Source organism: Homo sapiens, chromosome 17 (genome assembly GCF_000001405.40).
Source record: "Homo sapiens chromosome 17, GRCh38.p14 Primary Assembly".
NCBI classification, from domain to species: domain Eukaryota; kingdom Metazoa; phylum Chordata; class Mammalia; order Primates; family Hominidae; genus Homo; species Homo sapiens.
Genome location: NC_000017.11, coordinates 48,504,127 through 48,518,644, shown reverse-complemented (window position 1 = coordinate 48,518,644; position 14,518 = coordinate 48,504,127). Strand labels below are relative to the sequence as shown.

Here is a 14,518-nt window from a genome sequence, read left to right as displayed (position 1 = left end):
CTTTGGGAGGCCGATGTGGGTGGATCACCTGAAGTCAGGAGTTCGAGACCAACCTGGCCAACATGGCGAAACCCTGTCTCTACTAAAAATACAAAAATTAGCTGGGTGTGGTGGTGCACACCTGTAATCCTAGCTACTTGGGAGGCTGAGGCAGGGAGAATTGCTTGAACCTGGGAGGCGGAGGTTGCCATGAGCTGAGATCACACCACTGCACCCCAGCCTGGGCAACAGAGCAAGACTCCATCTCAAAATCAAACAAACAAGCAAACAAATGAAAACACAAGCATTGTTCCTTGTGTTCTCAGTCAGAAAACAAACTGACCTTGTACACAGTTTTGCAGACCTGGTTTCTGCATAACCAGAGAAAGCTGGCGAGGGAGACAAGTATTGTTAATTATGAGAAAACAGTCTCTTTCTCTTCCACCCTCTGGAGTTTCTATTTGAGCCTCAACCTCAACCTCGACCTCCTGGGCTCAAGCTAATCCTCCTGCCTCAGCCTCCCAAGTTGCTGGGACTACAGGCATGCACCACCACACCCGAGTAATTTTTTTCTACTTTTTGTGGATATGGGCTCTCACTATGTTGCTTAGGCTGGTCTTGAACTCCTGGGCTCAAGTGATCCTCCTGCCTTGGCCTCCCAAAGCATTGGGATTACAGGCATGAGCCACATCTGACCTCTTTATTTTTTTCAAAATCAAAGGAATATGGGAGACTGGAAAAAAATTCAATGCAGATTTTGCTTTATTCTTTTTCTTCCTCTAGTCCTCTTGTACACAAATCTCCAGACAAAAACAATGCCTTAGGTTTCCATTTAATTTAATAGATACCATAAACCTCTTTTTCAGTATTACCTCTGCATTGGGCAGGCGCTGAGTTGCTCTCAAAGTCGGATTCCTCCCTTAGTAAACAAGAAAATACCCACTTCCCTCTTTTTATCCTTCCCAGAACCTTTAAGTTTAATTCTCAGTTTTGTTTTTGGTGACGAGTGTAAATGTTTGCCCAGTCCCTGAGAAATAACTCAGATTCTTCTCTTGGGTCATGTGGAAACCTAGAGGAGCCCTCTTCCATCCTCTCCTTTCAATTGAGGCAGGCTTTAAATCTCAGCTGGAGGCTGGTTGCAGTGGCTCACACCTGTAAACCCAACACTTTTGGAAGCCAAGGTGGGAGGACCCCTTGAACCCAGGAGCTCAAGACCAGCCTGAGCAACATAGGGAGACTGTCTCTATAAAAAAATGAACAAAATTAGCCAGGCATGGTAGTGCATACCTGTAGCTACTCAGGAGGCTGATGTGGAAGATCGCTTGAGCCCAGGAGGCAGTCTGCAGTGAGCCAAGATAGCGCCACTGCACTCCAGCCTGGGCAACAGAGTGAGACCCTGTCTCAAAAAACAAGAAGACTGAGATGGTGGGTTTTTGGTTTTTTGTTTGTTTTCTTTTTTTTTTTTTTTTTTGAGACGGAGTCTCGCTCTGTCACTCAGGCTGGAGTGCAGTGGTACAATCTCAGCTCACTGCAACCTCCACCTCCTGGATTCAAGCAATTCTCCCTGCCTCAGCCTCCCAAGTAGCTGAGATTACAGGCACCCGCCACCATGCCTGGCTAATTTTTGTATTTCTTAGTAGAGACGGGGTTTCTTCATGTTGGCCAGGCTGGTCTCGAACTCCTGACCTCAAGTGATCTGCCTTCCTCAGCCTCCCAAAGTGCTGGGATTATAAGCATGAGCCACTGTGCCTGGCAGAGATCACTATTTATAAGGAAGACTCCCATAATGTTAGGCTGCTGTAAATGATAGAATGGTTCTTTATATGGAATGGGAGTTTGCCTTCTTGGCACTTACACCCATTGATTCTACTTCTTTGTTGCCCTCTGGAGCCAACACAATAACTCTTAACTCCTTTTCCCTACGCTACCTCTCCAAATATTTGAAGACAGCTGTCCTGTGTGCCCATAGGTCTTTCCCTCTGTTGAGCAATATACATTCTCAATTTCTTCATTTGTTCCTCCTGAGACCTGATTTCCAGATCTTTCCTCACTCTGTTCTTCCTTCCTTAGTTAATATATTCTATAAAATGAGGTATCCAGAACTGAATAGAAAATATTGTATAATCAGATAAATTCTAATACAGTGAGAATACTATATCCCTTGAGCTAGCACTGTGTTTCTATTGACATAAGCAGGATAGCCGGGGCAGGGAAGGACTATGGGGCAGGCTGGGAGTGAGAAATGAGAGGAATTCTCTTTCTCTTGCAAATTGTGTCCATCTACTTGAGCTCTGGGGCTGCATCAGTCACTGATACCTTAATCCATACAAATCTCCAAGCTCAGAAAGGGAGCTGCCACATCAGCAGCCATTTGTGGCAAGCAAACATTTGCCGAGTAGAATCTGTAATTTATGAGAAGGGAAAGGAGCATTAGTGCAGAGAAACAATGTGGACAGGTGAGAAGGAGAGGCCCTGTTATCTCAAGGGAAGGAAGTGCAGATGACCTAGGCTAGGGAAGCTAACTATTTCCACTCCTCTTTTCCATTGCTGTTCAGGTAATTCCTTCATTCCTCCCTCCCTCCCTTCCTCCCTCCTTCTCTCTCTTCCTCCCTCCCTCCTTTCCTCCCTCCTTCTCTCTCTTCCTCCCTCCCTCCTTTCCTCCCTCCTTCTCTCTCTTCCTCCCTCCCTTCCTTCTTTCCTTCCTTCCTTCCTCCCTCCCTTTTCCTTCCTTCCTTCCTTCCTTTTTCCTTCCTTCTTCCTCTCTTTCTTTCTTTCCTCTCTCTCTCTTTTCTTTTCTTTTCTTTTTTAGAAACAGGGTCTAGCTCTGTTGCCCGTGCTGGGGTATAGTGATGCCATCATAGCTCACTGCAGCCTCAAACTCCTGGGCTCAAGAGATCTCAAGGGATCCTCACAAGTTAGCCTCCCAAGTAGCTGGGACTACAGGTGTGTGTCACCACGCTTGACGAATTTATTTCATTTTTTTTAGAGACAGAGCCTCACTAAGTTGCCCAGGCTGGTCTGGAACTCCTCGGCTCAAGCAATCCTCCAGCCACAGCCTCCTGAGTCACTGGGATTACAGACATGAGCTACGATGCCTGACTATCTATTTCTTTCATGAAACTGTATCCCCACCTTCCTCCTTGGTGGCAGCTGTTACTAGCTTTGTTGTCGTTATTGTTATTGACATTTATCTAGCACTTTGCTATTAGCGCTTATTTCTCACTACATCTCTGGGAGGTTAGTATGATCATTATTCTCACTTTACATATGAAGAGCCCAAGGCTTGGAGAAAATAAGTAATGTATTCCAGATCATATATCTGAAAAGCAACATATAATTTTCTTTTTCTGCCTCTGGTCCTCAAGAATTTATATACATTTACATATGTTGAATATGCAGTACATTTAGGATGATGGCCTCTCTTTCTCCCTACTCCTCAACACTACCCCTAGGTATCAGATCATCAAGCATTGTTTAGCGTCTTAGGTCACTCCCTCCTCTTTTTCCTTTTGGAAAAGAAAAATCAAGCAGACTGCCCAAATAGCCAAGATCATCAGGTTCAGCAAGAGAATACCCCTCTCTGTGTAACCCTTTAAGATGAGAATCACTGCAAATAGAGTCCAAGTCAGACACTGACTCAGATTTTGCGAAAACCTCTAATAGTCCATGGCTTGGTGGTGATGGGTAGTTTTGCTTTAGGGATCTTCCGCTTGGGGTGGTCTTCTCCATGTTTGGAAAGATATTGTTTGAACGTGACTGATCTTGCAGTTGAAGGTTCCAGTTTCTATACCACAGCAAGCCTGGGAAAATGAGAAGGGGGTTATTAAAATGAATTTGAGAAGCGTTTTCTTTGAGGACATCTCTTTCTAAATCCTTCCAATGGGCATGGAATGCTATGACTATCCAGATAGTGGGAGTCATGATACAGGGAGGAGTAAGAAGTGGGGGCTTTCAGTCCCAGAGTTAGAGACCACAGCATTGCCCAGTTTCCTGCCCTCACATGAATCAGCCTCCCTGCACATCGCTTCCTCCCCCACCTTGTTAAAAACCCCATCATGGTAGATATATGGGTCAGAGCTTTGAAGACTTTGGGGAATAAGCAGATCAAAAGTCCAAATGTCCAACTCCTTTCACCTGTGAATCTCCCATCATTGGACTGCAGAGCCAGCTGCAAGGCAGATGGAAGGCAGAAACCTGGAGGCTACAAGCAGCTTCCCATCCTATAACTCAGCCCAGGTCCTGGGGAACCTGTAGAGGGTCCTGACAGCAGAATTAACATGATGGGGAGAGGCAGGCAGAGGAGAGGAAAGGGACACAGAGCCAGATTAGGGGCAGTAGATAACTTGGGTCTGGCATCTGCTCTTCTGCTTTATGCAAATGTTGCTTTAACCCCAAAGAAGCCACATTCTGAGACTAGCTTGTTGTTTATTTAAAAATATGCAGACTTTGCAGCCCATCTGGAAAGCTCTGAGGGGCTCCTGATACAGGCATCTCGTCATATCCCAGCAGCAGGGCAGTAAATCGAGAACATGCAGAAACATCAAAAAAGCCCTTCCTTGATCAGATGTTGTAAAGAATTTGCCAAGTCTGCAGATAAGGAGATCACTGGAGTGCCTGTGTGAGATCCTCAGAGAAAGCCCATTTATTTTCTCCTTCCCATTACCTTCTGCTCTCTAGATGAGCAAGGCATGCACAAGAAGGGGGAGGTGGGTGAGCCACTGGTAGCGAGGCCACGCGGTCCACATCACATATGGCCCATCCTCACCAAGTGCTCTGAGGGAACAGTGTGGGAGGATCTTGCCTTTCCTTATCAGTTTTGAAATACAAGGCACAGAGCCTCAGTGGCTGCCAAGGTAAAAGGCTATCACAGAGCAAATACCTGAATAGGAGAGACATATTTGAGAAAGAACAGATAACATTTTCAACATATTTAGAGATCCTAGCTCTCGTCTAGCTTCAGTATGTCTTTACCTGAGCTTTTACCAGCAAGAGGTGTCAAACAGATTAAATAGTTTATGGGAAGGCAGGATCCAGGCACCTTACAAGTTCTTTTTTCATATGTTGGAGCCGGCCTGGAGACAACCAGCTGAAATAATGGGTCTTGGTAATTTTCACAAGCTAAGGGACTCCAAATCTGCAATATTTCACTTACTTTGCAGATAGTCACTCAGCCCCCTGACCAAGGGGAATATCAATTTTTGCCGAGAATCAGTAAAAATCATTAAACGACAGTGAGAGTATAAGGGGGTGGGGTGGGATTTACAGCTTCTTTTTATAAGACCAAGTTAAAGCCTCATGAGTCTCCTGCACTTTCACTTTCACCTCTCCCATCATCAGCCCTGATTGGTAGCTACAGAAATGGAGGCCCACGGAATTTCAATAAGCTGGAGGCGATATCAGAGGAAACCGAGAGCTCTCCACACATGACAAGCTTTCAGGGAGTGTCATGGCGAGAGAGCCAAGATAAGCCCATTAAAGGGCAGAGTGGGCAGGTAGGACGTACTGTGTGGGGTCAAAAAATCTGAAATCTACAATGAGGAAGAGACCAATTCCAGGTTGTATCTGCAAATCTTAAAATGCAAGGATACCTGGGAGGAGAGAAAATTCTAAGAACGAAAAGATATTGGGTTTTAGGAGACAGGCTCTGAAAATGGGAAGAAGAAGATAAACAGAAGGTTGGTGCTTAAGTAACTCTCTCCTTTAAGAACTGTGACCCATGTTCCTAATGTTTCTGGCTTTTCATATTTCCTTGAGATTCAGTCTTACTTGGTTACTTGTCCCTCTAAAACATGGCACTCTTGGCCAGGCGTGGTGGCTCACACCTGTAATCTTTGGGAGGCTGAGGCAGGTGTATCCCCTGAGGTCAGGAGTTCAAGACCAGCCTGGTCAACATGGTGAACTCCTGTCTCTACTAAAAATACAAAAATTAGCCCGGTGTGGTGGCATGCGCCTGTAATCCCAGCTACTTGGGAGGCTAAGGCAGGAGAATCACTTGAACCTGGGAGGCAGAAGATGCAGTGAGTCGAGATTGTGCCACAGCACCCCAGCCTGGGAGACAGAGACTCTGTCTCAAAACAAAAACAAAACAGAACAACAACAAAAGTGGCACTCTTTCTATCTTGATTTTTAATAAGTCCTTTCTGTTCTTTTCTTTTTTTTTTTGAGTTGGAGTTTCACTCTGTTGCCCAGGCTGGAGTGCAGTGGCGCGATCTCGGCTCACTGCAAGCTCCGCCTCCCGAGTTCACGCCAATCTCCTGCCTCAGCCTCCCGAGTAGCTGGGACTACAGGCGCCCGCCACCACGCCCGGCTCATTTTTTGTATTTTTAGTAGAGACGGGGTTTCACCGTGTTAGCCAGGATGGTCTCGATCTCCGACCTCCTGATCAGTCCGACTCAGCCTCCCAGAGTGTTAGGATTACAGGCGTGAGCCACCGCTCCAAGCCCAATAAGTCCTTTCATTTGTCTGAATGATCTTCTACTCATTCTCTGTCTAGAAAATCTTTATCATCCCAGATGCAGTTCAAATGTCACTTTCTTGCAGAAGCCTTCCCTGCCATTCCAAACAGCATGAAACTCTCTCCTTGTTTGCTCTCTCTGTGCCATGGTCAGCCCACTGCTGGGCACATAGCACATTGCTGTTTTCACCTGTTAATACGTCTATTCATTTTTGTATCCTTAGTATCTAGGAAAATATGTATCTTGTAAGTATATATGAACTGTTGAAAAGATAAATGAATGAATACGACGGTAAAGATGAGACAGATTGGACAGTTCGCATAGATGGTATAATATTATAGCTGACAGATACAGCAAATCTATTCACTTTTTTGGTTTTCTCTCTTCAGATAAAGTAAAGATCTTCAAGATTTAAATGACAAGGCTAACCATATTTACTTTTTGCCATAACTCCAAGAAGCAAAGTATTATCATAATTCTCATTTACATCCAATAGAATTGACACTTACAGAGGATAAGTAACCTGTCCATGCTCATACTAAAATATTATATCTCTAGCAGTCAGGCGCAGTGGCTCACGCCTGTCATTCCAGCACTTTGGGAGGCCGAGGTGGGTGGATCACTTGAGGGCAGGAGTTCGAGCCCAGCCTGGCCAACATGATGAAACCCCATCTTTACTAAAAATACAAAAATTAGCCGGGTGCTGTGGCACGCACCTGTAATCCCAGCTACTCAGGAAGCTGAGGCATGAGAATCATTTGAACCTAGGAGGCACAGGTTACAGTGAGCCAAGATTGCACCACTACACTCCAGCTGAGGCAACAGAGTGAGTCTCTGTCTCAAAAAAAATTTTTTTAAATAAAAACTAAAATATATTTCTAGTAATACAGCTCATGGTTACTTTCATGTTTTGTTTTGCTGACTTTTTTTGCGGGGAGCAGACACCCGGAGTTGACTCATACTGAAACATCTTTTTTTTTTTTTTTTTTGGCACATATGGTGGCTTGGTTTTATTTTCTCAATATTGAAAGAATAGTACAATGAATGCTATACATCCACTGCCTGAAATCCATTGTTGCCATTTTGCCAGTTTGGCTGTATGTTATTATGCAAGCACTCATTCTTCCATCCAAGCATTTCAAAATAACTTGTACCTCAACCTTGACTTTCAGCACACATCTCCTAAGAATAAGGGCATTGCTCAATATAACCACAGTGCCATTGTCATACCTAAAAAATTAGCAATAAAACCCAGTCCATATCAAATTTCTCTAATGTTCTCCGAATGTTTTTTAAAATTGTGATTAAATACACAAAACATAAAATTTACCATCTTAATCATTTTTAATGTACAGTTCAGTGGTGTCAAGTATATTGACATTATTGTGCAACCAATCTCCAGAGTTCTTTTCATCCTGAAAAACTGGAGCTCTATACCCATTACACAACAACTGCCCATTCACCGGTCCCCCTGGTCCCTGTAAACCACCATGCTACTTTCTGTCTCTGTGAATTTGATTATTCTAGGTGCCTTATATAAGTGGAATCACACAGTTTTTGTCTTTTGTGCCTGGCTTATTTTACTTAGCATAATGTCCAGATTCATCCATATTGTAGTATGTGTCAGAATTTCCTTCCTTTTTAGGGCTGAATAATATTCCATTGTATGGCTATACCACATTTTGTTTTTCCATTTATCCACTGATGGACACTTGGATTGCTTCCATCTTTTGGTATTGTGAATGCTGTTACTATGAACATGAGACTCAGCTTTCAGTTATTTGGGGTATACACGCAGAAGTGGAATTTCTAGATTATATAGAAATGCTATTTTTAATTTTTTGAGGAACTGTCATAGTGTTTTCCATAATGGCTATAACCATCTTACATTCTCACTAAGACTTCACAAGGATTCCACTTTCTCCACATCTATGCCATCTATTAATTATTATTATTATTATTTATTTATTTTTTTTGAGATGGAGTCTCACTCTTGTCCAGGCTGGTGTGCAGTGGCATGATCTCGGCTCACTGCAACCTTGGCTTCCCGGGTTCAAGCAATTCTCCTGTCTCGGCCTCCCGAGTAGCTGGGACTACAGGCACATGCCACCATGCCCAGCTAATTTTTGTATGTTTAGTAGAGACAGAGTTTCACCATACTGGTCAGGCTGGTCTCAAACTCCTGACCTCAGGTGATCCACCCACCTTGGCCTTCCAAAGTGCTGGAATTACAGGCATGAGCCACAGCACCTCGCCTTGTTTTTGTTGTTGTTGTTGTTGTTGTTGTTTTGTTTTTTTTGTTGTTGTTGTTTTTGATACAGAGTTTTGCTCTTGTTGCTCAGGCTGGAGTGCAATGGCGCGATCTCAGCTCACTGCAACCTCCGCCTCCCAGGTTCAAGTGATTCTCCTACCTCAGCCTCCCAAGTAGCTGGGACTGCAGGCGCCTGCCACCACGCACAGCTAATTTTTTGTATTTTTAGTAGAGACGGGTTTTCACCATGTTGGCCAGGCTGGTCTCGAACTCCTGACCTCAGGCAATCCACCCGCCTTGGCCTCCCAAAGTGCTGGGATTACAGGCCTGAGCCACCATGCCTGGCCTTTTTTTTTTTTTTTTTTTTTAATGGTAGCCACCCTAATTGGTGTGAGGTGATATTGTGGTTTTGATTTGGATCTCCCTAATGATTAGTGATGTTGACCATCTTTTCATGTGCTTATCGGTCATTTGTATATCTTCTTTGGAGAAATGTCTATTCAAGTCCTTTACTCATTTTTAATTGAATTGTTTGGGGCTTTTGTTGTTGTTGAATTGTAGGACTTCTTTATATATTCTGGACATTAACCCCTTATCAGATATGTAATTTGCAAATATTTTCTTCCATTCTGCAGATTGCCTTTTTACCCTGTTGACTGTGTCCTTTGATGGAGCAATGACTTTTTTTTTTTTTTTTTTTTTGAGACGGAGTCTCACTCTGTCGCCAGGCTGGAGTGCAGTGAGGCCATCTCAGCTCGCTGCAACCTCTGCCTCATGGGTTGAAGCGATTCTCCTGCCTCAGCCTCTTAAGTAGCTGGGGCTACAGGTGCCCACCACCATGCCCAGCTAATTTTTGTATTTTTAGTAGATATGGGGTTTCACCATGTTGGCCAGGATGGTCTTGATCTCTTGACCTCGTGATCTGCCCGCTTTGGCCTCCCAAAGCGGCATGAGCCATCGCGCCCGGCCAACAATGACTTTTTGAACTCAAAATAGCTTATCTTTATCCCAACTAAACTTCATGGCTTTGCATGTTTTCATCCCTGCCTACAATGCCCTCTTACCTTCCTCTGGTTTATTTAGATAACTTCTATGCATTCTCTAAGACCCATTCCAAGTGTTGCTTCCTTCCGCCCTGAGTTAGGAGCCCTTCCCCTGTATTCTAATAGTGCTCCACATGCACACCTGTACCATGGCTTTTACACCAGTGCATTTATAATCCCCTGGTTACCTTGAAGACAGGGATCATCTTGTTAGTCCTTGTTTTCCCCAGTGCCTAGTACAGTGTTTGGCTCATAGATGCCTATTGAACTAACAACTGCTATTTTTAGCTGAACACTATGAACTAGAGAGATCCAGAGGAGGTCAGCCAGAACAGAGGAGAGTATGATGGTGATTACAAAGCATATGTATAATGTTTTATAATAATCAAATAATGTAGGCATATATCATCTCATTTAATCCTTTCAACCATAGGTAAGTTATATACATGTGGTCTCCACATTATGGAGAAAGAAAGTAAGCCTCGGGGAAGTTAAATGACTGGGTGAAAAGGTCACCCAGCTGAAAACTGATGGAATTAGAACTTGAATCCAAGGCCGGGTGCAGTGGCTTACTCCTGTAATCCCAGCACTTTGGGAGGCCAAAGCAAGCCGATCACCTGAGGTCGGGAGTTTGAGACCAGCCTGACCAACATGGAGAAACCCCATCTTTACTAAAAATACAAAATTAGCAGGACATAGTGGCGCACACCTGTAATCCCAGCTACTTGGAAGGCTGAGGCAGGAGAATTGCTTGAACCCGGGAGGTGGACATTGTGGTGAGCCAAGATCGCGCCATTGCACTCCAGCCTGGGCAACAAGAGCAAAACACCATCTCAAAAAAAAAAAAAAAAAGAACCTGAATCCAGGTCTTTTCAGTCCCAGTTAATTGTTATTTCCCTGCATAAGGTGTTGTTGAAGTAACCTGAAATGCTTACTTTAGAGGAGAAAAGACTCAGTGCAGACATTATAAATATTTTCATAGATTTGAAGGGATGTCACATGAGGTTCTTGAGAGGGCTTCCATTCATCCCATTTTGCTTCTTTGAGTGAAATTAGAAAATGAATAGAAAAAAAAGTTTTGTTTGTTTTTGTTTTGTTTTCTTAAATAAAAACTGTCCAAAATTGAGCTGGGCTTCCAAATGAGGTCCCTACCACTTGAGCTGTTAAAGCATCAGTGTATGACCATCCATCAGTGATATAGTAGGGGAGAGTCTTGGGTGGAAGCTTGGACCAGATGCCCTGAGATCTCTCAGTGACTCTAGGATTCCTTTTGGGTTTTCCCTATACCTTGTCATGTGAACATCTACATGCCTGGCTTAACCACAACTACCACCAAAAATGGGCATCGCCTTTTTGCAGAGAAGTGGATAGTGCCAGGCGTTGTGGCTTATGCCTATACTCCCAGCTTTTTGGGAGACTGAGGCAGGTGGGTTGCTTGAGTCCAGGAGTTTGAGACCAGCCTGGGCAATGGGGCAAGACCCCGTCTCTAAACAAATTACAAAAATTAGCTGGGTGTGGTGGTGTGCAACTATAGTCCCAGCTACTCAAGAGGCTGAGGTGGAAGGATCACTTGAGCCCAGGAGGTTGAGTTTGCAATAAGCCAAATCATGCCACTGCACTCAAGCCTGGGTGACAGAGTGAGACCCTCTTTCAAAAAAAAAGAGGGAGAGAAGTGGATAGTATCTTCTCCTAGAAGCCGATAAAGAAAACAACTCTGAAGTGGAAGAAATAAAGACTGCTTCCCACCAGCAAACGTATTCTTTCCAGTGATGGAACCAGGAAGTCAAGATCTCTGAAATTCAAAGGCATGACCAAATGAAAATACGGGGAACAGCTGAATTAAGCAGAGGCCAGAATAGACCTCTGAGTAAGACTTCCCTTCTGCAGGCCACATCTTTCTCCTGGAGCCACTTTGGAGACTTGGTTATGGATTCTTTCTGGGGAAAAGGAGAAGTCAGAAACCTGGAGAGTCAGAGTGGGAATCAAATTCTTAGGACATAACCCAGTTGTCAAATGTCCTTCATACTCCTTTGACAGCATGAAGTCAAAGGCTTCCAGGAGATCAGGAGCCCTGACTGCTCAGGGCAACACTGAACCCCTGAGAGGAATGGGTATTGAGGAACAGTGATGTCTGCACAGTGAGGATTTAATAATCCAGACGCATATTGTGCTTACTCTTCTGTGAACTCTGACCTTCCTTTCAGGTCCCTGGACTCCATGTTCATTAAAAACTGGAATCACCAGTGACCTGGACCCTAGTGCACTGACACTGCCTTGGTCCTTTCATTTCTGCTCTCGCCCTCATGTGCTCCACGGATGCAAAACAGCTGGGGCTCAGTAGTGAGAAAATCACTGGCTGAGAAATCCATCTACAGCGGGGACCTCAGTGTGGAGCTACGGGATGGGTAAAGGACAGCTGGAAATAGGAGGCTTTGCCCTGCTGAGCAGGACAATATTGTTTTCATGGGCCACCAGGAGGCAGAGGTTAGGGCAAAGATGAAATTCTAAAATTCTCTTCTCTGTAAGGGAAGAAAAATAAGGAAGAAATAGCATCTCTCTGGCTGTAGTCAAAATAGTTTTCGGACCAACCTTTGGGTCAGGCATTCACCTATAGTCTCCTCTTGCAGCTTTAAATTCTGTATCTGAGACTTACCTCCAAATTCTTTTTGAAAGGGTGATTTGGCTTGTGTTCACAACAGCTGCTTTTTCAAAATATAATTTTCAGGTCTTGCCCACTGGCTCTGCAGTTCTCACTCTGAACCTTCACGGAGATATAGGACTGGAGACTTTTGACATGATTTGACATTTTCCAGGCCTTGACATTGAACAAGGACATGTGGTATGAGAAGTGACTCTCCTGGACCAACAGGATGTGCATACTAGGTTGGAGCAGGATGAGTCATCCATTCTGTCTGGCCCAGTTGCCTTAGTGACCACATTTGCAATGTGACAAGAGAAGCTCAATGGTGCAACCTAAAATTGAAGAGTTGGGTTTTCTCTTTTTTTTTTGGCATGACCTAATACTTAACAATAACCTCAATAAATGTTTGTTGAGCCACACCTGGTGCTGTACACAGTGGCAGGTGTTTACATAGTGCTTCCTTTTTGAGCCTCTTTCACAGACATCTCACTGCCTGTACACTTTTTGTATGTGTAGCCAGTGTTATCAATTTTATTTTACAGATGAAAGATCTTCATTTTACTGAGGATCAAAAGAATTAAGTGACCTGCCCAAGGTCATACATTTAATCAAAGGTGAAACACATTTTCAGACTCTAAATCCCGAATTCCCTCTCCTATAAGAAAATACCTACCCTTGTGACCAAAATAACTAGATTAAAATGGACTAGATCCATCTAGAGCAGTTTGCATGATATAAAAGTGGCCTTGATTGATAATTGTTGAAGCTGGGTGTTGTTGGGTATATGGAAGTTCATTATATTCTTTTATTTATGTATATGTTTGAATTTTTCTGTAATAAACTTTTTTCAAAAAAGAATAAATCTGTTTTCTGTGCTGAAATCTGCCCCTTTGAAACTTTCTTCCATAAATCCTGTCTCCAAGTTTTATTTTAATGGTTGAGTCTCATTACTGACAATGATGGCCATTAACTGAGAGTTTAGTGTATCAGGTGCTCTGATAAGTGCTTTCTTCACATGTCTTAGTGTTTAACCCTCACAACCAGCCTGTGACTTAGGTACTAGTATCCTTGTTCTACAGATAAGGAAACTGAAGCTCAGAGGGGTCACATAACATGCCCAAGATCACACCCTTAGTAAATATCAGAGCTGAGACTTGAACTCAGGTGTGTCCAGTCCCAAAGCATCCTCCGCCCCTTTTTTTTTTTTGTGAGACAGAGTCTTGCTCTGTCACCCAGACTGGAGTGTAGTGGTGTGATCTTGGCTCACTGCAACCTCTGCCTCCTGGGTTCACGTGATTCTCATGTCTCAGCCTCCCAAGTAGCTGGGATTATAGGCATGTGTCACCATGCCTGGATAATTTTTGTATTTTGGGTAGAGACGGGGTTTTGCCATATTGGCCAGGTTTGTCTCGAACTGCTGGCCTCAAGTGATCCACCCCCTCTTGGCCTCCCAAAGTGCTGGGATTACAGGTGTGAGCCACCGTGCCCAACCCAAAGTCTCATCTTTAACTATTTCCACTGCTTCACTTCCTTACAACCAGAGGGGAACATCTTTCTCTTGGAGGCAATACTGTTTGAAATGTGCTTTCATTTGCCTATCTTACAAGAAACTTGAAACACGGAATTGGAGACATTTTCATCCCCCCTGCTGGAAAAATAAGAATTGTAAACAGAATAGCTCTTTCATTCAGCCAGGCTTGTCTGTCCCCAGCTCCCTGAGGGGATTCAAGCACTTAACTTTGTTTTGTAATCTCAGGTTGAGGAACCTGGCATCCATCTACCACCTGAGCACAGGGGTCATGGTAATTTTTTCAGCTCCTGCAAGCGAAACCTCTGTCAAAGGAGTAGGGGAGGCAGGTGGAGTGGGGTGGGGAGAAGAGAACTACCTTTGAAAGGGATTTAGGTTCCATTTCTCTTCATGGATTTATAGAGCACTAACTTTTGGTGGGCAACCTCTTTGCCCTTAATTGGCCCTAACCTGGCCAAGGTGAAAGGACACCAAAAATTTGAGGTGGGAGCTAGGATGCCCCCACCTTAAGTCCTGCATGATTGCAGCCAAGCCCAGCACTGGCTAGGTCTCTCCCTTCTGTAGCAGCAGCCTTCTCAAACTAGTGGGAAGAGCTTTGGGCTGTTATCTGATGCAGTATCA

General features: G+C 44.0%; 2 annotated features.

Annotated features, from left to right (window-relative positions):
* Window positions 1,607–2,117: an enhancer, noted in NCBI's record as "NANOG-H3K4me1 hESC enhancer chr17:46593890-46594400 (GRCh37/hg19 assembly coordinates)". NCBI's record gives its function as "activates a minimal SCP1, AML or CMV promoter by ChIP-STARR-seq in primed H9 embryonic stem cells {active_cell/tissue: H9 hESC(primed)}" and the evidence as "EXISTENCE:reporter gene assay evidence [ECO:0000049][PMID:30033119]".
* Window positions 4,395–4,444: an enhancer, noted in NCBI's record as "active region_12332". NCBI's record gives its function as "activates an Ori minimal core promoter by ATAC-STARR-seq in GM12878 lymphoblastoid cells {active_cell/tissue: GM12878}" and the evidence as "EXISTENCE:reporter gene assay evidence [ECO:0000049][PMID:35858748]".